Source organism: Homo sapiens, chromosome 3 (assembly GCF_000001405.40).
Source record: "Homo sapiens chromosome 3, GRCh38.p14 Primary Assembly".
NCBI lineage: Eukaryota > Metazoa > Chordata > Mammalia > Primates > Hominidae > Homo > Homo sapiens.
In genome coordinates, this window is record NC_000003.12 from 58,606,849 (window position 1) to 58,634,461 (window position 27,613).

The 27,613-nt window shown below is 50.8% G+C and overlaps 2 protein-coding genes and 1 long non-coding RNA gene across 21 annotated transcripts in view, besides 3 other annotated features; 1 reads left to right on the forward strand and 2 right to left on the reverse strand.

Moving 5' to 3' along the window:
* The window catches only part of FAM107A (family with sequence similarity 107 member A), a 63,494-nt gene extending 42,732 nt beyond the window's left edge, over positions 1-20,762 (reverse strand). Inside the window, exon 1 of the mRNA NM_001282714.2 lies at positions 20,123-20,762. Coding sequence (NP_001269643.1) covers positions 20,123-20,146 — 24 coding nt within the window. The 5' untranslated portion in view covers positions 20,147-20,762. The remainder of the gene's footprint in view (positions 1-20,122) is intronic.
* On the forward strand, positions 232-27,592 carry FAM3D-AS1 (FAM3D antisense RNA 1). The gene is made up of 4 exons (NR_134853.1): positions 232-281; positions 834-1,097; positions 25,691-25,812; positions 27,208-27,592. It is a non-coding gene; the product is annotated as an FAM3D antisense RNA 1 (long non-coding RNA).
* Positions 3,366-3,525: an enhancer, noted in NCBI's record as "active region_20013". NCBI's record gives its function as "activates an Ori minimal core promoter by ATAC-STARR-seq in GM12878 lymphoblastoid cells {active_cell/tissue: GM12878}" and the evidence as "EXISTENCE:reporter gene assay evidence [ECO:0000049][PMID:35858748]".
* Positions 10,369-10,574: a silencer, noted in NCBI's record as "fragment chr3:58602944-58603149 (GRCh37/hg19 assembly coordinates)". NCBI's record gives its function as "represses an EF-1alpha promoter that drives an FKBP-Casp9 reporter gene in an ReSE screen in K562 erythroleukemia cells {active_cell/tissue: K562}" and the evidence as "EXISTENCE:reporter gene assay evidence [ECO:0000049][PMID:32094911]".
* Positions 22,010-22,511: an enhancer, noted in NCBI's record as "H3K27ac hESC enhancer chr3:58614585-58615086 (GRCh37/hg19 assembly coordinates)". NCBI's record gives its function as "activates a minimal SCP1, AML or CMV promoter by ChIP-STARR-seq in naive H9 embryonic stem cells {active_cell/tissue: H9 hESC(naive)}" and the evidence as "EXISTENCE:reporter gene assay evidence [ECO:0000049][PMID:30033119]".
* FAM3D (FAM3 metabolism regulating signaling molecule D) overlaps positions 27,098-27,613 on the reverse strand; it is a 32,829-nt gene continuing 32,313 nt past the window's right edge. For all 19 annotated transcript variants that reach the window (XM_006712967.4, XM_011533352.3, XM_005264863.5 and 16 more), the window contains one exon: positions 27,098-27,520. In XM_006712967.4, the coding sequence (XP_006713030.1) occupies positions 27,431-27,520 (90 nt within the window). In that variant the 3' untranslated portion in view covers positions 27,098-27,430. The remainder of the gene's footprint in view (positions 27,521-27,613) is intronic.

The following is a 27,613-nucleotide window of genomic DNA, read 5'->3' on the forward strand; positions in this document are numbered from 1 at the left end:
TTCACACTCTTGTAGTTTAAGAATGAGATAATCTTGTAGCTGCTGGGAGTTTCCATGAAGGGGGACTGGCCCAGGAATGAGGTCAACCAGAGAAAAGTAGAGCCCTGAGAGAGGGACTAGGTCCTGAAGACTTCATTTAAGACACAGGATCCAGCCTTGCTTGATGTCATTACTCCTAGACTTTCACGTACAAGAGCCAAAAAATTGTCTTTTCTTCCCCCTTAACCCAGGGCTCCTGCAACCAAAAGAACACTTGACTGTGGCATCTTTCCAGCCTCCTGGTAAGTTTTCTGAGATTGGGCACTATGTCCTGTCCATTTCTATTCCCTCTCTGGTTTTTACACAGCATGGTAGCAAGGGTTGGGGGTCAAATGTCTTGAGCCAGTGTTCCATGAGGCTCCATTTCCTTGGTCCAGGATATGCCACGATGTTTGTAACATGGAGCTAACTTTGCAGTTGCCAACCTAGAGTGGAGTTTTCTCCTGGAGGGTGAGGGTGAGGATGTTGTTGAGGAAAGGGGAGCTGGCTGTGGTGGGAAGAGTGTGGGTGTGGGAGACAGACCCCTAGGTGGCCTCCATGACTCTCACCCCTGTGCTGACCCTTTGGTGTGGTCCTCTACCTCTCCAGAGTAGAGGGTGGGTGGGAGCTATTTTAACAATAGAATATGGCAAAGGTGAGGGTGTGTCACTCCCATGATCATGCTAGATGGATTTGTATATGTGCATGTATGTGTGTATACGTGTGCATGTATGTGTGTATACGTGTGCATGTACATGTGACTCTGTCCTGCTAGCATACACTAACAAGAGATTCTCCTTGCTGGCTCAATGAAGTTAGCAGCTAGGTAAGGTGCCCCCATGGCAAGGAGCTGCGGGCAGCCTCAAGAAACTGGGTGGCCTCTTAGGACCTGAGGGCAGCCTCCAACAAGCAAGCAGCAAACCTCTGGGGCCTTCTGTTCTACAACTGCAAGGAAATAAATTCTGCCAACAGCCTGAATGAGCACGGAAGTGAACTCTTTCTCAGTCGAGCCTCTGAATGAGAACACAGTTCAACTCATGCCTTGACTGCAGCTTGTGAGAGTCTGAGAAGAGGACCAGGTAAGCGGTGCCCAGACTCCTGCCAAGGGAAACTGTGATATGTGTGTGGTTTTCAGCCACTGATTTTGTGGTCACTTGTTACGCAGCAATAGAAAACCAAACCAACAGACTTTGAAGAATGAAAGACTTGGGTGTGATTTCTGCTCTACTTACCAGTTGTGTGACCTTGCATGAGTCACATCACCACACTGAGCTCCAGTTTTCTCATCTACAAATGGGTGCAGACTTGGGAGAATTAGAGATAATAAATAGAAAGCACCTAACATGGGGCCTGGCACAGAGTAGGTGCTCAATAAATAGTAGTTAAGAGTTACCCTGATTTTTAATTTTCGTCATTCATTTTTCTAAATTTTCAATAATGATCATGAATTACCTTGATAAACAGAAAGAACAATTTTGCTTAAAATAAGAAGGAAATGGGCTTGTCTAAGGTCACATAGCTAGTCAGCAGTAGAGCCAAATGAGAGATCCTAAGCCTCCTAGGCCAGATCTTTTCCCAGAACAACTCCTTCCTTATCTATGGAATAACAATAACAGCAACAGCAACAATTACCCTAAGAGCCAGGCAGCTCCCCTGGACCAAACCTGCAAGGTGGTATAGTTATCCCCATTTTACAGATAGAGAAGCTGGGGCCAAAGTCCCACAGCTGGCAAGTGGCAGAGCTGGGATTTGCCTTCTGGAGCTGGAAGAAACCACCTAGTCCACAACATCCAAACTTGGCCTGGATTCTCCTTCCCCAGACCCCCTTGGAGGTGGCATGGGGGACACCTGGGCTTTCTGGAATGAGGCAAAGGCAAGGAAATCAGCAGTGAGACCTCGCCCAGATCCCATTACGCCAGGCAAGATCGCGTTTCCCCTGTTCTGGTGCCATAAGCAGGGCAGAGGAGCGGGCAGGCAGCCACTTTCCTGGTTATTCAAGTAGAAAATTACAGGTGCCCAAAATAGCCTGGGCATTCTTTTATTAATGAATAAGCAGTGAGTTGGCAGAGCTGGAATGGGGCTTTGCATGCATCTCTTTCCCCTGGACACCTTCCTGAGATCTGCAGGGACTCTTGGCTCTCAGAGGGGACTTTCTCAGGAGTTGGGGGAGCTGGCAGGATTGGGGTGGGAGCATTTTCAGGGCCTGGTCATGGGAAAGGGGACAAGGAGGCCCCATGATGCAGGAGCTGGAAATGGCCCCAGTGCTGAGGGATGGGGTTCCCAGCAGATGCAGGTGAAGAGATGGCAGGTATAGGTCCATCCCAGCCACTCTCTTCTGGCTGTGTGGTCTTGGGCAAATGGCGTAACGTGTCTGGGCCTTCATTTCTTTTTCTGTAAAATGAGGTAAATCATAAATTTACAGAAATGTTTGTTTTCTACTGACTATAAAATTAATTGTAGACAATGTAGGCAATGCTCACTGTAGACAATGTAGAAAGTGGAAAAAAATACAAAAGTGACCATGATATCTCCCCTCCTCACCCCATTGCCCCTTCCTCAATTAAGATAATTAGCATTAATGTTTGGTATTTATTTTTCTAGTCTTCTTCTTATACACATATGAAAAAATGGCTGGTACAGCTTAGTGCCTGAGCTGCTATGCTCTAAAAATGGAACCATCACTTACAGTCAACAAATATTAGTCAGTCAACAAACACTGTGAGCACTGCCCTAGGCCCTAGGGTGGCATGGAGGAAGGTTTCCCCCAACATCTCCTACAGCCGCTTTTTGTTTTTCAAGACCTCTGGCAATGACTTCGCTGAGTCCTCAGAGCCACCTAGGGGGTCGTGGAGGAGGGAAAGTCATTTTTTGGGTTCCTCACATGGATATGGGACCAAAGTCGGGGCCCAGAATCCCCCCATGAGGCCATCTGTGACCTCTTCCTACAGCAGGTCTTGTACACATGGGTTGGCCTAGGCATGGCTTCTTGACCCCTGTCTCCTCCCTAGAGGGTCGGGGCAGGAGGCAGCTGTTCTCTTCTGGGGTTATTTCTTGGCTGGTTAATATGTAAAGTGCTTAGAATGGCACTTGGCATACAGTGTGCAGGAAGTGCACATTACTGACAAGATGGCCAGCACATCATGATCATTACTAGTTGCAGATAGGCCGTGTGAGGCCATTCCCTTCTGGAGACTGATTTGTAATGGACCTGAGGAGACAGCAGCTGAATTACGTGCAGGATAGAAATGACAACAGCACCAATGACAACCACTTCCATCTACCAGATACAGCACCATAGGCCAGGCATCATGCTGAGTCATCTCATTACCCGCGTACAACCACCAGACTAAATGGGGGTTACTAAATGGGGGTTGCCTTTCATAGATGAGGAAACTGAGGCTCAGAGATGGTAAGTAACTCTCCCAAGGCCACACGGCTGGCAAGTGGCATCCCAGGTTTGTCTCATGCCGGACCCCTTACCCCCATCCATGAGGCTGAGCCTGCAGGGATGACGAAGGCCCTGCCCCTGAGAAGCTCGCTGTCAGTGGTAGAGTCCAAATTTGGAACTTGACCCTGAGTATCCTGGATTTGCTGAGGGATAGAAAGAGAAGGCTGTGGGCTCTGCCTTGGTATAGATCTCTACCCTGACACTTCCTAGCTCTGTCACCCTCTTAACTTCTCCATGCCTAAGTTTCTCATGGGAGAAATGGGGATAACAAAAGTGTTGCTGAGAAGATGAAATGAGATAACTGAAGCTGCTTGCATAGGTGGTGTATAGTAAGTGCTCAATAAATCCATCTGTTAAAAGCTTTATCACTGATATTCCCAGAGGAATTCTCAAATTTCCAAGGGCCACCCTCTTCCACCTGAGTGGATGGGTGAAGCAGTGGCTGGTTGAAGCAGTGGCTGGTTAACCTCAAGGAAACTCTAGCCACTCTTCTGGCATTTGACTTGGCTGCTTCACACCAGATAATGCTGCCTCTGGTCTGGGCTGCTGCAGACATAAGCCCTGATGTGATTTGGCTATGTCCCCACCCAAATCTCATCTTGAATTGTAGTTCCCATAATCCACATGGAAAGGGACCTGGCAGGAGTTGATTGGATCATGGGGGCTGTTACCCCTATGCTGTTCTCATGATAGTGAGTGAGTTCTCACGAGATCTGAGGGTTTTATTAGGGACTTTTCTCCCTTTGCTCAGCACTTCTCCTCCATGTCACCTTGTGAAGAAAGTGCCTTTCTTTCCCTTTGCCTTCTGCCATGACTGTAAGTTTCCTGAGGCCTCCCCAGCCATATGGAACTGTGAGTCAATTAAACCTCTTTTCTTTATAAATTTCCCAGTCTCTGGTATCTCTTCATAGCAGCATGAGAATGAACTAATACAAGCTCCAATGTGCAAGGAGGCCCTGCCAGGGGCCCCCAACACCAGCTCCATCCCCTTCACTCCCCACTCCCAGTCTAAGATCAGCAGAATCTTGACAACTGGCCCTGTATTCCCAGAGAGGGTGTCATTATGAACAGGTGGGGGTGTCACTGGTGTGGCTTCAGCAGGATCAGTCCAGCCAGTGTGATGTTTGCCCAACCTGGATGGCTCCTCCAATCAGGCAGATACTCTTGATGTTCCGCATCATCTGTTTATGGGCAGGTCCCTGATGGAAACTCAGCCCAGGGAGCCTTGACAACTTGGTTGAGAGCAGGTGGGGAAATGCTGCTTCAGGGATTGCTTCCTGGGTTCTGGGAACCCCACCCACTGCACTGGGCAGTGACACCTGGGCAAGTGGGTGGCTCAGAGAGAGAAAGAGTTCTGGGACGGCTGCCTGGGTCTGATTCCTGGGTTCCCCATTGACCTGCTGTGTGGCCTTCACAAGGCACCTGACTTCTCTGAGCTGTTTCTCTTCCGTAAAATGGGGATAACAGTAGTGCCGACTTCACGGGGTTGTTGTAGGATGGTGCACGTAAAGTATTTGGATAGAGTTCTGCACATAGTAATTACTAACTAAATGGTAAATTATTTTTTGAAATGAAATTGTTTGTTGCCAAACTGCTCTGGGTGAGAATGAAGACAGGGAGGAGATGAGTCACACACTGCAGATTGTGGTTTTTTTTCTTCTTCTTTTTTTCATAGCAGTAGGTTCTTAACTCTGGGAAACCAGCTACCTTAAGGATCTGACAAGGCCATGTTCTCTCTCTCTTTGGAAAGTCTACATGTCCTCACATACACATAGCATTTTGCATCCAACTTCATAGAAACCCACCCATGATCCTAAAAGTAAAATCTATCCCAAAGAAAGAATAAAGGATGCGCACCAAAATATATCTACTAAGATGTGAAGGAATGAAAACAACCTAAATATCCAAAAATCAGGGATTGGTCAAAAAAACTGTGGCATGTTGGTATCAGTGGAATGCTATGTACCCATGAAAAATGTCTTGGGCTGGGTGCAGTGGCTCACACTTCTAATCCCAGCATTTTGGGAGGCTGAGGGGGGCAGATCACTTGTGCTCAGGAGTTGGAGACGAGCCTAGGCAACATCGTGATAACTCGTCTCTACAAAATATAGAAAAATTAGCCAGGCCTGGAGGCACATACCTATAGTATTAGCTACTTGGGAGGCTGAGGTGGGAGGATCACTTGAGCCAGGGAGGTCGAGGCTGAAGTGAGCCGTGATCACACCACTGCACTCCAGCCTGGGTGACAGAGAGAGAGAGAGACCCTGAAAAAAAAAAAAGGACCCAGGTAACCAGATGGAGGGGTGAAAATCTGCACAGACTCATGCCACAGTGTCACAGTGGTTATACTTGCTGATTTTTCTACAATAATAATGTATTATTTGAGAAATAAAGAAATGAGAAAAGTTTGAAAAATGACTAAGTTCACTTAGTTAAAAAAGAGCTAAGTTCACTTTTTAAAATAATAAAAATAAAGTTATTGTGGAAAGTATTGGAAAATAAAGAGAAAAAATCAAATCACCTCTCATCACCGCCCCCTTGCCTGTTATCAGTCATCTTTATGCACAGTTTGGAGTCATGTTTATTTTTATTGTGCCAGCAGCCATGTGGGTCTCTTCCTTTCTAGGAGCAACTCTAGTTGACTCTCCACTCCCACGCTGCAGGAATTGACGGCGCACAGGGAACAGTTTCTACTGCTGTCCTTCCCGTTACCTCCTCCAATGGGGCTTCAGTCACCACCTCTCTGGAAGGTGATGATGGTCGGCAGCTCCATATCGCCAGCCGTGACTCTGCCCTGAAATCTAGCCCAAGGGAGCCAACTGCCTGTTTTGTCAGGTAACACCGACAAAAATAGCAGCCATTTGTTGAGCTCACACTATGTGTCAAGGACTGTGCTCAGTAGATTCTATTACTGATCTATTTTATAGATGAGGAAACTGAGGCTGAGAGATCAAGGAGGTGGCCAAGGTTACAGAGCTAGTGAGATGGGGAGCAGGAGTCAAACTGTGGGTTGTCTGACTTCACTGCCCAGGCTTCTCATGCTGTGCTAGAGCTGACTCTAGTGAGCTGACCTCAGCCCTCCCGTGCCAAGATCCTTGGCCTGGTTCCTCTGACTTCATCAACCTCTGGCCCCTGTGTCCTCTCTCTTACAGTACTCACCCCTCATCCTGCCCTGCCCAGCCCCTGCCTGCTGCTCTGGCCTGACCAACTTGCTCTCAGTGCCCTGAGTGCCAGCAAGGCCTCTCTCCTCTGGCCTTTGTGTAAGCAGATCTTTCTACCTAGAACACTGTTGCCCTCTTTTTGCCTGGCTTCTTCCTTCAGGACTCTGCTTAGATGGCACCTCCTCCAGGAAGCCTTCCCTGATATTCCCCTCCCTAGGATTGGGTACCCTAGGGCCATATCTCCCAGGGAGAGGTGAGTCTTGGGGAGGCTCAACCCTCCCAAGTGCTCAGCTTACCACAGCTGCCAAGTCCTTGCCCTGGGATGGTGGAGACTGATGGGCAGGAGGCAGAAGGCGGAAGTCCAGCCCTTACGGCCTGTCCAAGGTCTATACGTTACATCTGCCTCAGACAGCCTTCTGGCTCTGGCTCCTGCAGGTGCCACAACTCCCTGCAGCCTGCTGTACCTGGGAAGTGCCAGTGGGCTGGACCGGATCAGCATCAGTCACTAGGGGAAGTCAGTCTCTCTCTAGTATTCACCTGGCTGAGCCTGGATGGGAGATCCCTGGAAAAACTGCCGCTGAAACTTTCCACTGACTCTGGCCTGGCTCTGGCTCCAGAGGAAAGAGAGCCCGTAGCCATTTCAGGGTTGAGCCCATTAGCCATGCTGTCCCAGGCCAGACTTACAGAGAGGAGGTGTCAGTGGGATGTGGCTAAAAAGAATTTCTGTGCCGCCAGGTCCTGGCTGTGGAATTTTGGATTCCTGCTTAGGGTTTTTTTGTTTTTTGTTTTTTGCTTCTATGTCATGAGTGAATTGGCCTGTAATTTACTTTTCTTTCATTGTCCTTGTTTAATTTTGATAGCAGTTATTATTATTATAAAATGAAGCAGGAAGTGTTCCCTCATTTTCTATTGTCTAGAAGACTCTGCCTGAACCCAAACTGATGAATTTCTCTAAAGTTTAAAAGAACTCACCTATAAAACTGCTGTTCTGATAGTAACTCATGATTCAATTTCTTATCTTTCTTTCTTTCTTTTTTTTTTTTTTTGAGATGCAGTTTTGCTCTTCTCGCTCAGGCTAGAGTGTGATGGCGTGATCTCGGCTCACTGCAAACTCCGCCTCCTGGGTTCAAGCGATTCTCTTGCCTCAGCCTCCCAAGTATCTGGGATTACAGGTGCCTGCCACCATGCCTGGCTAATTTTTGTATTTTTAGTAGAGACAGGGTTTTGCCATGTTGGCCAGGCTGGTCTTGAACTCCTGACGTCAAGTGATCCACCCACCTTGGCCTCCCAAAGTGCTGGGATTACAGGTGTGAGCCACCGCACCAGGACGATTCAATTTCTTTAACTGTTATTAACTCACTCTGTTGCCCAGGCTGGTGGAGTGCAATGGCACGATCTTGGCTCACTGCAACCTCCGCCTCCCGGGTTCAAGTGATTCTACCACCTCAGCCTCCTGAGTAGCTGGGATTACAGGTGCACACTACCACATCTGGCTGATTTTTGTATTTTTAGTAGAGATGGGGTTTCACTATGTTGGCCAGGCTGGTTTTGAGCTCCTGACCTCAAGTGATCTGCCCACCTTGCCCTCCCAAAGTGCTGAGATTACAGGCGTGAGCCACCACGTCTGGCCCAAGCCAATAGGATTTTTGTTCAACAATATTTTCTAGATGTTTCTTAAAGCCAACTACATCATTCTCTATTACGTTTTTAAAGGAACCAACTTTTGGCCATCTTCAATATCATGTATTTTTATTCTTTAATTTTGGTTCTTATTTTAATTTTTTCATGACTTTTACATTCTTTGGATTGTTTCTGTTGTTCTTTTACCAACTTTGTAACTTTGACATTTAGCTCAGTAAGTCTCAGTCTTCTTTTCAATGTGCATTTAAAACTATAACCTTCTTCTTAAGGACCATTTTAGTTGCTTCCTCCAAGTTTCAATATATAGTATTTTCATTGTCATTTGGATCTAAAGATTTTCTTGTGCCCTTACAGAGACAACATGCTGATGGGGAAAGCTAGATTTGAGACAGTTAAATAACCAAAGAAGGTAATTTCAGATGGTGGTAAGCTCTGTGAAGGAACTGCAGGACTTGGGACCAAGATGGGGGGATTTTAGCTGGAGGGAAGATAGAGAATGCCAGGCGCAGTGCCTTATGCCTGTAATCCCAGCACTTTGGGAGGCTGAGGTGTGTGGATTCCTTGAGCCCAGAAGTTGGAGACCAGCCTGGGCAACATGGTGAGACACTGTCTCTACAAAAATTACAAAAATTAGCTGGGCATGGTGGTGTGTGCCTGTAATCCCAGCTACTCAGGAGGCTGAGGTAGGAGGATCACTTGAGCCCTAAAGGCAGAGGTTGCAATGAGCCAAGATTTTGCCACTGCACCACTCCAGCCTGGGTGACAGAGCCAGACCCTGTCTCAAAAAAAAAAAAAAAAAAAAAAAAGGACTTGTCTCTGAGCTGAAACCAGAAGGAGTCAATCATGAGGAGACCTAGGGAAAGGTGCACAGGTGGAGGGAACAGTGGAGACAAAAGCTCTGAGGTGGGGAAGAGATTGGGCTGTCAGAGATACCTGTGGAGCCCAGTGTGTATGGAGTAGGGAGCCCAGAGCACGATCAGCCAGGGCCTGTGGTGTTCCTTGTAACAGCTCTTGAAGGGTTTTACCGGAGAGAAGAGGGGATCAGATTCAGAATTAAAGTAGCTCATTCTGGCTTTGCCATATGGGAACGCACTGCAGCTGGACAGGAGCTACATTGGACTTGAGGCCCCAGGAGAGCAGCTGGCAGAGGATGGATGGGTCTCAGCCAGAGGAATGTAGAACTTCAGGTGCCCGAGAAGAATGTCCACCAAGTACAGAGGTCCAGGGGGCCAGGCGTTATTGTTGTGGGTTGAATTGTATCCCCCAAAAGGAATGTTGAGGTCCTAGCTCCTACCTGTGAATGTGACTTTATTTCCAAATGTAGATTTGGAAAGCAGATGTAGTCAAGTTAAGATGAGGTCATTAGGGTAGGCCCTAATTGAATCTGACTGGTGTCCTTATAAGAGGAGAACACACACACACACACACACACACACACACACACACACACACCACCACTACCACCACCACCACCATCACCACCACCACCACGTGATGACAAGGGCAGAACACCACGGATTGCAGGCACCACCAAAAGCTAAGAGAAGGGCATGGAACAGATCCTCTGAGAGCCTTCTGAGGAGCACTCCCTGCCGACACCCTGATTTCAGCTTCTAGCCTCCAGAACTGTGCGAGAATAAACTGTTGTTTTCGGCTCCCCAGTTTCTTTTTTTTTTAGACAGAGTCTTGCTCTGTCACCCAGGCTGGAGTGCAGTGGCACGATCTCGGCTCACTGCAAGCTCCGCCTCCCGGGTTCAAGTGATTCTCCTGCCTCAGCCTCCCGAATAGCTGGGACTACAGGCACACGCCACCACATCCAGCTAACTTTTTGTATTTTTGTAGAGACGGGGTTTCACTGTGTTAGCCAGGATGGTCTCAATCTCTTGACCTTGTGATCCGCCTGCCTCGGCCTCCCAAAGTGCTGGGATTACAGGCGTGAGCCACCGCGCCTGGCCTCGGCTACCCAGTTTCTGATCGTTTGTTATGGCCGCCCCAGGAAACTCCTGTGTCACTTCACAGTGCCTGCTTGTGATGGCAGAGTCAGCATGGGACCTTCACAGACGCTGGCCGGTTCAGGGCCTGCAGGTCTCAATGGCAGGCCTCTTCCTGAACGTGCACCACATCATACAACTCAGAATGACCCCTACCTGTTCCCAGAGCTCAGGTGGGTGGAGAAAAATCCCCGGATGGTCCCTCAAAAGGACAGACACTGCCCCATTTCTGGCTGAGCTCCTGCAGGTTCTAGGTGTGACATCATCCCTATGGGACACCTCAGGCCCCGTCCTGAGCTTCCTGAGGAGCCGGATGTCACCTAGACCAAGCCAGGCTCTTCCAGCTTCCCTGTGGCAGCCTCTGTCATCTTAGATTTTAGATGAAAAAGAAAGTTCCAGCTCCTCGCCTTTCTCTCCGCCCCAGGCCCTGAGATCTGATCTCTTACTTACACAAAGCCCCTTGTTTATGTTAGTTTGGGAGACACAGTGTTCTGAAAGCCGATCCCTGGGGCCCAGGGAGGGAGCTGCGTTTTTGGGTTTCTGCCTGCGAGAAAACCGGCTTTTGATTTGGCCCCTCTTGCACCACCTCCAAACCCTTTCAAGATAGAAATTAAATTCTCCTGAACTTTAGGCCCCTCTTCAGTGCTACTCCCAGGGGAGTGGAGCCACTACCTACTATTAACTCTGCCTTGCACAAGGTGAAGATTTATTCTGGCTTGACATGAACAGCTTCAGTCCTGATGCTTGAAAAACAAGATGAACAGCTTCAATCCTGACGCTTGAAAAACAAGTCCATGAGAACGTGGGCTGTGGAGCCAGAAGTATCCAAGTTCAAGTCCCAGCTCTGGCACTTGTTGGCTCTGTGATCTTGAGACGTGAACTCAACCTCTTTGAGTCGAGCGTCTGCTTTGGTGAAATGGGGACATCGATACCTTTGTGGCTGGGTTTGTGGTGAGGATTCCATGGAAGTTCAATTATTAGAAGGCATTCTTATTTATCTTCAGGAAGTGCCCATTTTGCAGATGAGAAGGACTGAGTGAGGCTCAAGGGGGGTAGGCCCAGGTTGGCTGTGTTGTGCAAGGTTTCTGTAAGGCCTTGGCTTTTGGTGCATGTGGAGGAATCTGAACACTAGCCTGCTTTTGCACAGTGTTATCTTGTCTGAGCCCTTCATGGCTGTGAAATGGGGAAAACTACCCATGCCAGGCTGCTCAGAGAAGCCAGTGATGCTGCACACATGAGGCCCTGGCTCTGCACCTGGGGTAGAATTGGCCCTCCGAAGAATGACTGTTGCTGCCCTCTCTTTTTCTCTCCTGCCTCACTTTACCCTAAACCAGTGGGCAGCACAGCTACCTTCTCTGCTTTGACATGGAGCCCAGAGTGGGAGCCCAGAGAGGGAGGCCATCTTGCCCAGGGTCCCTCATTCAGGGCCTCTGAGGCGAATATTTTATTCTTATTCGTGAACGAGGAAGATTGGATTAGGAGGAGGTGGACTAAGATTAAAGTGGATTTAAAAAGAATTAAAATAATTTCCTTCTCTCTACTGCCTTGGAAATGAGATTTGGCCCCAAGGCCCGAGGATGGGGGGAAGGTGCCCATCTTGGGCCCCCTGTGACCTCTTCCTCTCTTGAGGTCTTAGAACATCTGGGAGTGAAGAAGGGCCCTGGTGGGCACCTGGAGGGTGGTGTTGGGGCAGGGGGTGAAGTCAGGGGGACAGGTTTGGGGTTTCTTCAATTCTGTTTCTGGGGGATTTTCTCTTTGTGTTTTGCCTCTTGTGTCTTTGTCTCTGTGTCTCTGTCTTTCTCTCTTATCTCTATTTTGAATAGTGAGCAAAAGAAAGAAGAGAGAAAAAAAGAATGTTCTCCTTGATCAAAGAGTCTGAGGCAGAAACATAGTTGTGATTTTTTTTTCCTTGAGACAAGATCTTATTCTGTCACCCAGGATGGAGTGCAGTGGTGCTACCATGGCTCACTGCAGCCTTGACCTCCTGGGCTCAAGGAATCCTCCTGCTTCAGCCTCCTGAGTAGCTGGGACTACATGTGCACCACCATGCCCAGCTAATTAATTTTTCTTTTTTTGTAGTGATGGGTCTCACTATTTTGCCCAGGCTGGTCCTGAATTCCTGGGCTCAAGTGATCCTCCCTCCTTGGCCTCCCAAACTGTTGGGATTACAGGCCGTGAGCCACTGTACCAGAACTTTACATAGCTGTTTTTTGAGAGGAGAGGATGGCATGGCAGGGTAAGTGCAGGATAGGTGGGAGAAGTTAAGGTGCCACCGAACCAAATCTGTGGCAGTCCCTAACCCCAGAACCAGGAATCTGGGGGCCCCTACGAGGCTGAAGAGGGCTGGAAAACCAAGAAGTTCTTTCAGTTCCTGGGACATGCCGCAGCCTCTCATACCTCCAGGCCTTGGCAGATGCTGTTGCCTGCTGGAAACCTCTCCCCGCCTCCTGACCTGATTAATCCTTCTTCGTCTTTTACCTCTCGGCCTCGTGGGTCCCCCTTCAGTGCCCCAGGTCCTATCTGCTTCCCTCATCATAGTACCCAGCACCTGCTCTGTCCCTGGGGATGGCTTATTTCTCTCCCATGGGGCTGTGCACCCCAAGGGTGAGCCTAAGTGCCATTCACTCATCTATCTCCAGTGCCTGGGTCCCTATGCCCAGTCAACATTTGTTGAATAAATGATGAACAAGCCATGAGGGATTTTGCATTTGGCCAGGAAGTTGTGCAGGTGGAAAGTGTGTGTAAATGTGTGTATGTGTGTGTGGTGGGGAGGTGGAGGCAGGGTGGGGAATGTGAGAATTTGGATCAGAGCCTTAGAGACATTGGAGGGGAAGGAGGGACATGTGGGGGAAACTGAGGGATTCAGTCTATGTCCCTTCCCCCCAGCCTGAAGTTCTGCATGGATCCTTCCATAAGGTTGGCCTTCAACTCAGGGTAGCTTTTGGGAAATCAGCCTCCCTCTCTCCTGCCCTCCCTTCCTTAATTAATTAATGGAGCACCTTCTATGTCACAATGGTAAACCAAAAATCAAACGGCCTCCCTTCCCTCATGGATAAATCACAGAACTATACATGAAATCACAGAGTGGTCAGCGTGGAGGAGAGACCAGAGAGCTCTGTGAGTGTGATGGGGTTTGCCCTAGTCCGGGGAAGTGGGGAGAGTGATGGTGTCATGGGGTCCCTGAGGAACTTGACCCCCTTCTAATCTCTCTGACCTTCCCAGCCACCCCTGGTAATCCTACAGGCTTGGCAAAACCTGTAGGCCTGGTAATGCACATGCGGTTCTGAGACAAGCTTGCCCTGTTCTTGTCCACTTATCTAAGCCCCTCACCCCATATAGATATTTGAGATCCACTCAGGGAAGGCTTCGTGGAAGAAGTCTCGGCTGAGCCGGTATCTTTTTTCCTTTCTTTCTCCTTTGATTCCTTCTCCCTCCTAAGCTGGGCTTCCAGCCATAAGACAGGATGGGGAAAGTTTTAGTCTTGGAAGAGGCGGTTCCAGGGCTGTGAGGGATGACGCTGTGGAATGACGGAGCAGCACTCCTCCTGGGGAGACCCAGCCAGCACCTGGGCACATGGCTCCACTGGTAGAGGGTGGGCCGGATGTCCCACTAACCCGTTCTCTTGTTGCCTTTGTGCAGTGCCCAACCTGTACACCTGTTTGAAGCAGCCCTGGGCATTCAAACCTTGAACCCAGCTTGGGGAAGGCCAAGGACAGATGGAAATAAAAGCCCCATTAGGAGGCCTTGGAGAGCAGGAAAACTGTGCCCTTTCCTGCCTCCAAAGGTCACTCTGCCTGTCTTCAAATGCCCTTTTTGGCTGCAGCCAGTCTAGTCCCCACTCCTCCTCTACACTCACCTTCTGCCCCTGGACTTCCCCAGGGGAGAAATGTCAACTCTAACTTTTTCAGGAGTTTCAGCCCAGGCCATTCTGAAGGTGGGAGTGAAGGAGGTGGCGGCATGGTTCCCAGGGAAGGGGAGGACAGTATATTTACCAGTTTGCTGAGGCTGGGGAGGAAATCATTCAGGGACTTTCAAATCTAGCGGGTAAATAGATAGAGTAAAAGGGGAGCCCGGAACTAAATGACAAATTTTAGCGCTTGGGAAACCATGCTCACAACCCCAGCATACGTGTTTGCGCCTGACCAGAGCCCTCAGGAATGTGGCCTCCCATGCACAGATGTCACCTTGGCTGGCACTAAGGACTGGGGCCAGCTTTCTGGGGTTGTGACCTGTGCAGCTGCACAGGGCTCTGAGCTCAGAAGGGCCCTGTGCTTGGTTTAATGCTCTGCTGTTGCTGTCTTGAGATTCTTAATGATTTTTGAACAAGGGACCCCACATTTTCATTTTGCACTGAGACTTGCTATGGACAAAGTGACAAGCTCATTTTTACCATGGTTGGGGAGGGCACTGGGAATCATTTAATGCAAACCTCTCTGTTCCCAGATGGGGACACTGAGACCCAAGGGCAAGCATGCATCCAGGCACTTCAAGAACTTTCTCATTTAGTTCTCACACTGATAATACTAAAGTGGGTGCTATTTTTATCCCCATTTTAGGGATGAGGAAAGCAAAGCTTAAACATCACCCAGAGAGTGAGTGCTAGAGGCTCCACTTGGCCCCAGGCCTCTTCTCCCTGAGTCTGGATGCTTTCCAAACATCTGCATAACGGGGGTTGCAGGGTGGTGGGGAGAACTTGAGCTCAGGATGCAATGTGCCTGGCCTGCCCAAGAGAGTGCTGCCTGGCTAGGCACAGCTCAGTGCAACACTAGCCCTGCCACTTCCTTACTGGTGACCTCTGAGCCTCAGTGTCTTGACCTGTGAAATGGGCATGAGAATATTAGCCCTTTCATGGGGCATTTGTGAGAATTACATGCCTAGCTCAGTGTCAGGTGGGGGAGAGGTCTTGGGAATTGCACTGAGGCCCAGGCAAGTAATGACTGGAATTGGCATGAAGGGCAGAGCAGCTTTGAGTGGTTCCCACCCAAGAAGTGGGTACAGCAGCCTCTACTTTGCTGGGCTGTGGATGTGCTGGAGGGACAGCATGAAAAAGCATTTAGGGCTGGGCTCACACCTGTAATCCCAGCACTTTGGGAGGCTGAGGTGGGTGGATCACTTGAGGTCAGGAGTTCGAGACCAGCCTGGCCAACATGACAAAACCCCATCTCTACTAAAAATACAAAAAAATTAGCTGGGCGTGGTGATGCACACCTGTAATCTTAGTTACTTGGGAGACTGAGGCAGGAGAATCACTTTAATCTGGGAGGTGGGGGTTGTTGTGAGCTGAGATTGTGCCACTGCACACCAACCTGGGTGACAGGGCGAGACTCTGTACTACCCCTATGCCCCCCCCAAAAGAAAGCATTTAGCATAGTGGCTGCTGGTGGGGTTGGAGCTCGACAATTGACATTCCCCTTCTTCCTTTCCGTCATCTTCCCTCACACCTTGGGATGGAATATCTGTCAGTGCAATTGGAATTCAATTCACATGCTGTCAGAAACTTACAAGAGCAGGTGGGGCAAGCCCTGCGGCTGGAATGCAGAGAAGTGTTGGCGGTGGATAGAAATCAGGAGGGCAATACAGGCAGGCAAATGGAGTGAGAAAAGGTGGAGAGGCTGGAATGATCCCAGAGACCAGGGCCCAGTGGGGAGGCTGCTGGGCAGGAGGGGGGCTCTGCCTTTGTTGGGGGGGATATTTTTTCCTCACCCCCATGAGCTCCTGACACATTTCTCCTCTTGTCCTTGAGCCTCCCACTCTGGGCACAGGAGTCCTTTGGGAACCCAGCTGTGGAGTCCCAATGGCACCCAGAAGTGAGGTGCAAGGCCCCTTTCTCCTCAGAGAAGCCGTCTGAGGCGGTGGGCAGAGTCAGGGTGATGGGATGGCATGCTGTGAGCGCCTCCTGATGAGGTCCTCACACGTCACTGAGCTGGGCGCAATGAGCTGGAATCCTCTGCTGGGCTTGGCGGCCCTGAGCACCAGGCAGGCCCATCCATCATCGGCAGGGAAAATTGTTCAGGGAGCCAGCAGGGCCCAGCCAGATGTGTACCTTCTGGGCTCTGATAGAATGAACACACCCTTTCAGGCCATTCATCAAATTTAGCCATAGTGCTTCTATTTTTTTCCCCTTTTGTTTCAGTCAAGGCAACTTTCTCTTAATGAAGGTGAATGCAAAGCGATGAGTGTCTTGGTAAACAACAGGGTCAGAGGACAGGACTCTTTCAGGGCCACAAAAAACCTGGGTGGTGTTGGGTTTGGAGAAATGTTTTACAGAACGAAAGCCAAGTGTCCAAACCTCCAGGGGGCTATGCTGCCGCCTCCTGCCCTGCAGAAGCTCCACCTGCAGCCTCTAGAGCAGCAGCAACAGGACCACGTGCCATTCCCTGAGCACCCACTGAGTGCTGGGCACCTCGCCCCAGCCTGCTGTGGAAGGTAAATCATCATGCTGCTTGACAGCTGAGGAAACTGAGGCTCAGAGGGGTTAAATGAGATGCCCCGACAGGGGCTCCAGGTGGGATGTGAGCACTGTTGTGTTTCCACCTTCAGAAGCGCCGGCAGTGGGGTTTGCTGTTTGAGAGGCCAGGCTCTTAGGGCAGCCTGGGTCAAATGTTAACTCCACCCTTACTAGCTGGGTGACCCTGAGCCTCTTGCTTAACCTCTCCACGTCTCTGGATTTCTGGGTGATAAAACTCTCCATGTCCAAGAGCTGTTTGAAGACTAAATGAGCGAATTGGTGCAGAAGCGGCAGTGCATGCGAGCTGTGCTCAGGAACATTTTCCATTTAGCAGCCCCTTTAAGGGTGGCATTACGGTCACAGCCTGGGGAGCTGGACTTGTGCAGGGCAGCCTCTGGAAGCTTGTGGTTGTGTCCTCTATCCTGGGCGAGGGCACTGGCCACTGCTGATTGGGGTGGAGGACGGCGTGCCCACACTCTGTTGGTGTCTATGAACTGGCTGGTGTCTGAGGCCCATGGAAGGTGCTTTTCTTGAACCCACTGCTGCCGCAGGACCTGTGGCCTTGCTGTGTAATGCAAGGGCTTAAAACGTGGCTCCCATCCAGACATCTGGGTTGAACTCACCTCTCTGGCATCAATGCATGCCCAGTGGGTCAAATGTTGAAGTTTCTGGAATGTTCCAAACAGTGTTAGAGGGATTGCTTCTGTGTGTTAAAATATCTTCTTGCAAAAACCCTGATAGAGGCCAGGGTACCCACCTTGGTGCCCTTGATAGGGGCAGATTTAAAAAAATGCCAAGTCCAAGGGAAGTTCAGGCCCTGCCTAAGAAGAACAGAAACAACAATGTCTGTGTTTTGACTCCTGGCCCAGTGGTCTATCTGTCACACCCTCGACCCTTTCAGTGTTCTTCCATTCTCTCTGCCCACCCCACAGCTGGAGAGAACGCTGTCTCTCCTCCTGGGGGGCCATTACAATGAAATGTCCAGCACTCTCCCTTCCATTGAGTAACAGCCATGCCATTGGGAGACAGATCTGTGGCTCCAAGGGTGGGCTCTGGTTGGCCTTAACCAACCACGTGATCCCTTCCATCCCCTGCCAGTGTGGGTTTAGGATTCTAGGCAAAGCCTATGCCCCTGACATTCCCCAGGGGACAAAGGTGAGTTCACCTAAAAGCAAAGTCCAGACCTTGCCTAAGAGGAATAGAAGCAACAACGCTGTGTTTTGACTCCTGGCCCAGGGGTCATGTGCCCAGTCACCTCTGCTTCAACTTTCACACATACTACCAACTATTTTTTGCCTGCCTATTAGTCTCTGCAACTGACAGGGACGGCCTCAAGGGCAGGGGCTGTGTCTCCTCACCCTTGGCTCCAGCTCCACATAGGCCCTGGCATAGGGCAGCAGGTGCCTGCCTGATCAACAGCCTTCTGTGGGAGGTTGGGGTGGGGCTGAGGAAGATGCTGTGGACAGAGCTATGGACCAGGAAGGGTGGGATGGGCTGGGTTGTTTGGAGTCAAGCAGAATGGGGTCAAAATCCTACCCAATAAAAATGAGAAATAAAAATAAAACTTTAAACAAACCCCACCCCTCCACTCTGGCAAGTGACTGAACGGACCCCCTCTTGGCCAAGGAGACCCCAGAGAAATCTTGAAAACCGGGTTTCTGGCCATGACGGGATGGGAGGTCGCACGTGCCCCGTAGTGTGCCATCCCTTGATAACCTCCGTTATCCTAATTCCCTAAGAGCTAAACAGAAACAGGCCTTTTCAAAAGACTCCATGCTGATTTCAACCAACTGCCCCTCCCTTTTGTGGTTTTAACACAAAAACCAACCAGCATTCTTTCTTGATAAGAGATCACCAATCATGGAGCGGTTCTAGCCAGTCTGCAGAGGATGCACAGTGAGGGTTTTCGTGCTCCCTGCTTCACCTTTGACATCAGAGGGCTGAAAACTCCACCCTCAGATCACACTAAGGCCAACATTTTTTTGTACCTGGGGCCTGTAAGAGGCATGAAGCTCAACTGTGCATGTAGATGTTTCTCCTTTCATAAATATTCATGACCCCTCCCACAGCTTATTGAATATGTATATTTGGCCATGCTGCTCAGCATAAATTTCTACTCCCTTTGCCTCTTCCTCAAAGTGTCAGTTTCTGGATTCTGGCCAGAGGCCATGCTTCCCAGCCTCTCGGAATGGCCACCCTGCAGGCTGCAACCCTTTATGAGAAATAAAGCTCCTCTTTCCAAATTAACAACAATAGCAGTACCCTGCTCTTTCCCCCACTAGCTGCATGACCCTGGCTAAGAAATTACTTCTTCCTTGAGTTTCTCAACCTTGATGGAACAGGTCATCACTGGTTGTCTGAGGATCAGAGTCCCATGTTTATCGGGGAGCCTCTGGGCTTGGGGTAGCACACTGAGCACTTCACAGGCATCATCTTGTTGAACTTCCCACGAAGCAGGTACCAGCCCCCCTTTATAAACAAGAACCTGAGGTCCAGAGGGGTTCAGGTCATCGCCACGGTAGGTGGGTGGTGGATCTGGGACACGGCAGCCTGTCTATGCCACTGGGATGGCAGTACCGGGTCGTTGTGGTTGGAGAGCAGTGAGCACGTAGGACAATCCCGAGAGCTGGTGAGTAAATGCAGGCCCCTCTTTGCCCCTAAGAGGCTGATCCAGGAGGTCTGATGGGCCATGAGAAAGTGACTGTTTCACAAGCTCCCTCCTACTCCCCACCCCAGGATGCTGACGCAGGGGTCCGCAGAGCACATTTCCAGAAACAGTTCTCAGGCAATGCTGTCTACAAACCCCCAGCTGAGAGCTCAGGCTTAGAAGGTGAGGGATAATAACATGAATAGAATTCTAATAATAATGGAGCAAAGCCTCTACACAGTGCCAGGCAGTGTTCCAAACACTTTCACTCATTTAATTTTCACAATGATTTTCCAAGGTAGTGATTATTATTGGCCCTATTTTACAGGTGAGGAAATAAGGTACAGAAAGCTTAAATAACTTGCCTATTGCCCTACAACTGGTAACAGCTGGTTAGCTAACTTTATAATAATAATTTTAAGATCTTTCCCCTGTATCCACCTGCATCAGACACTCTCCTGGGGTATGGGGAAGGGGTACCCAGGGAGCTTTTATTCAGGGAAGTAGAGATGTGTGTGGTTAAGACCAGGGAGCCAGAGAGATTTGGCTGCCCCCGAGTCTGTCCTAGAGATGGAGAGATAGGACACTGGTTCTTCCCTGAGCCCTTGCCTGCTTTCTAGATGCAAGTCTTGGCTGTGAGTTCCAGGGGGAGGGCTGGTGGGCACTGCCGGCTGAAGCTGCAGGGTAGGTGGGTCGGGGCTCCCACTTGCTAGGTCCAGTCTCCCTTCCCATGACCAGGGCCCCAACAGGACACTTAGAGGTTCCTACCTTCTTCCCCTGGGCTGCTCCCATGGCACGAAGTGGGCACCAGGCCTGGGTGGGCTGCAGGGGCCAGGCTGGGGTCCTCCCTGCTGGCGTTGATCTCAGGAGCCAGGACCCAAGGGGCTCCCGGGGCGAGGGCCCCCTGTCCTCTTGCGGCTCATTCTCCCAGGCACAAAGGCGGCTTTCACAGCTGCTCCTAAGCCCGGAGCGCCTCAGACAGGCTTAGGGCGATTGATCCTGACAGAGGGGCCAGTGTCCCCAGGCGGCTTCTATGCCCTTCTTGGGTCCCTGCAGCTCCTCACCTCCCAGAACCCTGCCTCTCTCAGGAAGGGAAACTGAGGCAGCTGGGAAATGAGGGAAGACGTGGGGCAGTCCTCTCATCACACACCGGTAGCTCAGGCGCGGCGGGTGACCTCTGCCTGGCCCAGCGGGCAGGACTTGGCCTTCTCACCTTGCTGGGCACCACTCAGCCGACAGGGCCAGACGGTGGAGGCCGTGGGCTGGCTGAGGTGCAGAGCTCTGGGAGGGCTGCGTGCGGATGTCAGCTTCAGCTGGACAGCCCCATTAATAATAGACCTTTGAAGATGCTTGGGGTCCGGGGCTCTCCCACAGCAGATACTCTGAGAGCAGACTCCTTCATTCAACTGGGCAGCAGGCTGCCTGGAAGGGCTGGAGGGCTGCTGGTCTGGGCCCAGGCCAAGAAAATATCTGAAGGCCAGATTCCAGGCCTGGGGCCAAGTTCTCAAAGTGCCCCCGGCAGTCACTCTCCTCCTCATTTGCCAGCCCTGTCCTTCTCCGTGATGCCAGCTTGTGGCAGAGGTTAAGGCTAAAGAGACCTTGGGCTTGAACTGTAGCTCTGTCCCTGATAGTTGTGTGGCCTTGGGGGCACGATGTTGTGTGTGTGTGTGTGTGTGTGTGTGTGTGTGTTTGTGAAGCACTCATACTGCAGAGCTAAATGGGGTAAGGTGTGTGTGTACAGCTGAAGCCATCGTTTTGCGAAAGCATAAATCAGAGCATGTTGCTCTGTTTTATCTGTCACTTCACCAAAGGTGGGGTAAGAGTTGCCCCCACTGCATGGGGCTGTGGGGATGTGCAGAGCATCTGGTGAACAACAATTCCTCAGAGAAGTTAGGTGCCACTGCTATCATGCTGCTAATAACACAAATGATATCCACTGCCCAGTGGAAAGTCCCGAATAACCAGTTCACTAAGCACAACACCGTTTCCCAAGAGGTGGGGGGGTTGGGGAGACCTTGCCACCCTTTCCTTTCCTCTAGCACGATGCCTGGCACACAGTAGGTGCCTGCAACACATACACAGATGACTTACGGAATGGCAGCTGGTGGAGGGTCAAGAATTAGGCATTCTAGATCCAGCCTTGCCAACAGAACCAAACACCCCATGGTCTGCAAGGTCTGATTGACTGTCTTGCTAGGACCTCATTTCCCTCTCCTCCCTCTCCCTGGTAGTTTCTGGGTCACAGCACCTTTCCCCCCTTCTCAGGGCCTTTGCACTTGCTATTCTCTCTGCGTGGAATGTTCTCTCCCCCACTTCCCCTCCACTGCCCATATTTTGATCTTTGCCTGATTCTATCCTTTTTGTCCTTCAGGCTCCTCAGAGAAGCTTTCTCTGTTGCCTTGTGCAAAGCAGTTCCCAGGCTCTCTGTTTATTACTTTGTTGTAGCACTCATCAGCAACTGAAATGATATGACTTCGGTGTTTATTGTCCGTCTCCTCTGCCATTCCTCTGGAATGGCAGTTCCACAAAGACCAGGGCCTGGTCTGTCCTGCTCCTCAGTTTACCCCGAGTCTAGAGCAATATTAGTGGAAGAATCCATGATGGAGGATTAAATGAAATAGTCTAAGTAGGTCGAGTGCTTAACACAGTCCTGACTCATCGAAAGTGCTCGCTTCATGGCACTGCTTAATACTGTTGTTATTGTTACTGTATTTCCTCCGATACCCATGACCCTTCCAGCCAAGCAAACATGTAGCTTCTTCCTTCCGCCCCTTCCCTTGGGTTCAGCCTCTGCCTTCCTCGGCTGCTCCCCACTCCTTTTCTCCCTGTTCCAGTCGTGGCCTGATTACAGTTTCGGATTTCCTGCAGAAAGGAGAGAGTCCACAAAATTGTAAAGGGAAATGACTAAATTGGCCTTCAGATGGAGCAGTAAAAATGCTGTAAGTCAACACGGAAGATCAAACTCCTTTGGCAACCATCCCATAATTATCCACCAGCTTGACTCTTGGTGGGGTGGGAGGAAAGAAAATGATTCTTACGCATTTATTAATGTTTTCCATCTGTTTGGAGCCCTGCCGAAATGTGGCTTAGTGCTGCAGTGAAAGCCTGGTTGACAGAGCCTGTGATTGGGCTCTGAAGTCCAGGCCCTGGCAGGATGATGGCCCAAAATGCAACATTCAGGCCACATGGCATGGGCAGGAGGAATGGGGGTGGAGGCCCCAGAGCCCAGCACTATGCCTGGCGCAGAGGATGTACTTGGAATACGTGAACAGATGATTTATGAGGTGACAGCTGGTGGTGGAGGACCAAGGAGCAGGTGTTCTAGATCCATCTTTGCCCTGTCTCACTCTGTGGCTGGGCACATCCCTTAGACTCTCTTTCTCCATCTAAAACATGAGAGTAAACATGTGTTCCTTCTTGACCCACAACCTTATAGAAGGAAGTAAGGCTTACGAAGTGTGAGGGGGGCTTTGGGTTTTAAAAAGAGGAGTTCTAAATCCCTTGAACCCAGTTCCTCTCCATCTCTTCCAAAGCAATGAAGGCAGGTGTTGAGAATGCTAACTCTGAGGTTCTGTGCAATCTTCAAAAGTCTTCAGAGGCATTCAGGAGCAGGGCAGGAGGGGGAGGAGAAAAAGGGGAAGTGGGGAAGAGAGGAGGAGAAGGAGGATGGGAGAAACTCTGTTTACCTGAGAGTAGGTTTAGGGCAAACATATCTGTTTCGTGTAATGTTGGGGACAGACTGGAATTCCAGCCCTTATTCTGAGACTCCTTATCTATGTGACTTTGGACAAGTCACTTGACCTCTCTGAGCCTCATCTTCCTTCTGTGTAAAACAGGATGACAATGGTTCCCACCCCGTGGACGAGGGGGCTATGAGGATGAAATGAGGTAATTCATGTAAAGCTCTGAGCAGAACGTCTGGAGAACTGCAATTCTCTGTAGAAGTGAGGTGCTGCAATTGTTACACTATCAGCAAGGCCGAAGATAAGTCCAGTGCCCATTGGGAAGTCCCAGATAATGAGTTCATTAGGCGCAACAGCCTTTCCCGAATTGGGTGTGTGGGGAGACCTTGCCACCCTTCCCTTTCTAGCTTGTGCCGCCACCTACTGGTGAAGACAAGAATTACAGCTTCTGGAAAGCTCTCTCCACGACCCCACCCCTCACAGCCCCATCCTCACTCCTGGGATGGGTGGGAGGCACATTGGCAGGGAGTGGGGAGGCAAATCCAAGCCCCCAGTTCTGAGGCCACGATTAGCTTGCAGAGATTCCTGAAGGCTTGTCGACCCCAGTGAGAAAATGTGTCCCAAGTCTTATCCATTTCACTTTCTGATGATCCCTGGGACAGGCCCCTGGTCCGGGCCACCACCCTCTATTCCTGGATGATATGGCAGCCTCCTCACTGGCCTCCCTTCCTCCACTCCTTCCCACAGCAGCAAGGAATTTTCAAAACATGCAGCTCTGGTCACCTTGCCCCCAGCTTAAATCTCCCAGTGTGTCCCCTGCCCTGGGACAAAGTCCAAGCCCTCTGCCCAGCTCACAAGGCCCCTCGGGCTCTGACCTCCCACTCAGCCCTGTTACCCATCCTCTGCCCCTTCCAGGCCTTGTTCATGCTGTTCCCTGGCCTGACATGCCCTTCCCTCCCTTCTTTGCCTGGTGAGCTCCTACACACTCCTGAGGGCTCAGCATGGGTGCTGCTTTCTCCAGGATGCCTTCCTGGATCCCCCAAGGCTGGGGCAGCGGTCCTGCAGTCTTTCCCCTTGCCAAGCCATGTCGCCTCTGGATTTGTATCCCCTGCTAGACTGAGTGGGAACGGTGCTGGGTTTTCTTCACTGCAGCATCCCCAAGCCTGCCGGACTCTTGATGCATATCAGGTTTGCTGAGTGATGAAAATCTTGGCGATAAAGACCCAACTCTTTACAGCTTGAGCTGACCTGGGGGTCCCTATAGTGGCCACAATGTCCTGAAAATGACGTTGAGAGTCTGACAGGTGTTTGCCACTTTTGTAACACCCACCCAAGAGGGGCCTAGTGTGGCTGGCTCGAGAATGCAGTCTCCTTGATGGGTTATGGGGGTACAATGATGGCTACTTGGGCTTATCTTCTGACTTATTCTGGGCATCTGAGGAAGGAGTGGGAAGCTGGAGTGGGGCATGATCCCTAATCTTTGCCTTGTGTTCCCTGGTGTGGAACAGCACGTTGCCTCTTCCATGGGCTCCACATGGCAGTGGCAAGTGCAGCTCCCCCACTCTGAGCTCTTTCTCCTTGAGAACTGATCCCTTTTATGACAACAATTCCTGCAGACCTGGAGGTCTTATCTCCCAGCCCAGGCTCAGGCTCAGTCCCATCCAGCTGGCCATGCCCACCACCTCTCTTAGGATGGGTACCCCAGGATCCCACTTCGGGATAGGGATTGTCGTGTAGGTGATTTGTTAAGGACTGGCCCCTGGGGACACTGGTAAGGGAGTGGAGGAGCAGGATGGGAAAGGGGAAAGAGGTAAGCAAAGGGACACTTTCAGGCAAAGTCCCAGTTCCCGCCTGATCCCTCTGGGAATCCTGGAGTGTAAATTGCACCTCGTGGTCGTCATCATGCCCCAAAATAAAGAGCTGGCCTTTCACGTTCCCATACCTGCCAGTCATTAGCTAAGGACCATCCTGGGGTGGTGTACACACCCCCAGCTTCCTGGTCTGTCTTCTTTGCACTTGTGCTCAAAGAATGTATGAGTAGCCCAAGGGCAATTCTCCAAAGAAGAGTTCAGACTGACCATTAGTAACAAAATCTGGGAAAGGGCACCTGGGACGCTTCCCTGAATTCTCTGATTGAGCCAGTTGACATGTTCTCAGTCTTCTTTGAAGTGTTGTGCAGTGCAGTTTCTGGAAAAGTCCATGTGTCTTCTCTTCAATGAGGCAGCTACCCCATGTCTTAAAATAGTGGCCACTGCCAAGAGCCCTCTGCCTAGCCCTGGTCCCTGCTCATGAGCTCATTTTAGAGGTCTTTATATGTTCTTTAAAAATTTTACAAGGTACTCCTGCTTGTTGTAAAGTGAAATTTCCGAGCTCTCAAAGGTGTTTATGGTCATCATGAAAATTTCATGCCACCTTCATTCCCAGAGCAGGTTTCTGGGCAGATGTTTTTCCAGGTAGTCTACTGATGTGGTTGGAAGTGGTTATTCAGGCCTGCCAGCATGCTCCCGCTTTCATCCGTGAGGGTGAGCTGGGGTGGGTTGGGCAGGGAGTGACAGAATTGACAGGATGTCTGGATGGGCACCTTCTGACTTCCTCAGCCAACCCTGAGCACGGCTCCCCGCCGGCTCTTTGAATTTTTTTTTTTTTTTTTTAGATGGAGTCTCGCTCTGTCACCCAGGCTGGAGTGCAGTGGTGCAATCTCGGCTCACTGCAATCCCCGCCTCCCAGGTTCAAGCGATTCTCCTGCCTCAGCCTCCCAAGTAGCTGGGATTACAGGTCAGTGCCACCATACCTGGCTAACTTTTATATGTCGGCCAGGCTGGTCTTAAACTCCTTGCCTCAGTTGATCCGCCCACCTCGGCCTCCCAAAGTGCTGGGGTTATAGGCGTGAGCCACCGCACCTGGCCTGGACCTTGATTTTGATATCACTGCAATTGTAGCCCGTGTCCCACCTGCCGTGGCCCCTGGTGGAAGGTTCACACACACTATTGTCTCTACCCCAGGCTATCTTGGCACATTTGAAGTGCTCCCTGGCCCCAGGACTTGGGAGCTGTGAGTCTCAGACCACTGGTGGGCATCTGTGCTTGGGCAGAGGGTTTCTTCTCCATGAGGTGTAGTGTCCCCAGCACATGCTCCAGGAGGCTGAGTAGCAATGCTTTCTGCCCCCACGACCTCCTTTCAAGACTTAGTCTAGAGCCTGGGAACTGGGCCCTTCTCAGAAACCTCAGGCAGGTCTTGACACCGTATCCTTGGGCCTTCCCATTTCAATGTGCTCCTGCCATTGCAGCTGGCATTGCCATCTCTTGGCTGGGGGCTTGCTGTGAAGCCACAGAGGGCCACTCTTCCCTAGGCAGGGCAGACAAGAAGCACCTAGGAATTCATATCATCCCCAACACCAGAAGCCCTCAACAAACCACTAGTGGGAGTCGGTGTGTAAATACCCCAGCTCCCTCACTCCCGGGTGGAGTATCTCCAAGGTGCATGTTCTACCCCGATTCCTAGAGCTTCGGGTGGGAGTCAGCTCCAGTCCCCACAGGGGTAGCTGGGTTGAAACCATACCCTTCACTGGCTGCCTTCCCCTCCTTCCCTTTGCCATCTCACTTCCCTACTTCTCTATTGGTGTTTCCCACAATCACCTCCCAAATATACTGGCTGCCCTTGAGTCCTTGTCTCAGGGTCCGCTCCTGGGGCGGAGACAGCCCGGCTGCCTTCCCTGAAGCCTGCAGCACAGCCTGGCGGCTCCTTCCAGCCAGGTTCAGATGTGCCCCTCCTCTCCCACTCCTGCTCTGGACTTGCTCCAGCTCTCCTTCAGACAGAGGGTGATGACAGTATTTCTTGCATCCTGTCCCTAGCTCCCTCTGTTCCTGTCCATCCCACATGTTATGCAGGAACTGAGGATTCTCTCAGGCCCATGGGAAATCCTAGAAACACAGCTCCCTCCCAGCTGCCTAAGGGGGAGCCTGAAGCTGTCACAGACCTGTCTGAACCCATGGCCCATGCTGAGTCTGGAGCAGTTCAATCCCAGGGAGAAACGTGGCCACTGGAGTGGTCAGAAAGCTCATTCAAAACCAGCAAAAATAAAATTTAATTGGGCTCAAGTCTGGGCAGTTTGTCCTTCCTCAGGACCAGCCGTCAGCAGTCCCTGACGAAAGCACCCCATTCTCTCCACAGACAGCTGGTTCCAGAAGGACCCTCTGAGGCTGGTCTTCCGGGTAGGATGTGCTGTGGGAGGGTTCTGTTTCCGAGGAGGAGAGGCGCGACACAGCGTGCAAGGACCTGCAGCACCTTCCACGCAGCACCCCCTGCTCCTCCTCCTCAGCCCCTGCCGGGCTCTGACTCCTAAGTCAGGCAGGAGCTTCTTCAGGCCCCTGGCTGAGGAAGAGCCACAGCCACCCTAAAATGGCTTCGGGGGCATGCAGCCCTCCATCTCCAGCAGCTCTGGCCATCCCTCGTATTTGTTTGTGTCTGGGCTGTTCTTTAAGAACTAGAGAGAGAGAAGACAGAGAAATATAGGCAGTGAGTGAGGCTGTTCAGAACTCATGCCCACATGGACACTGTGCTCTAAACCTAAATGGGG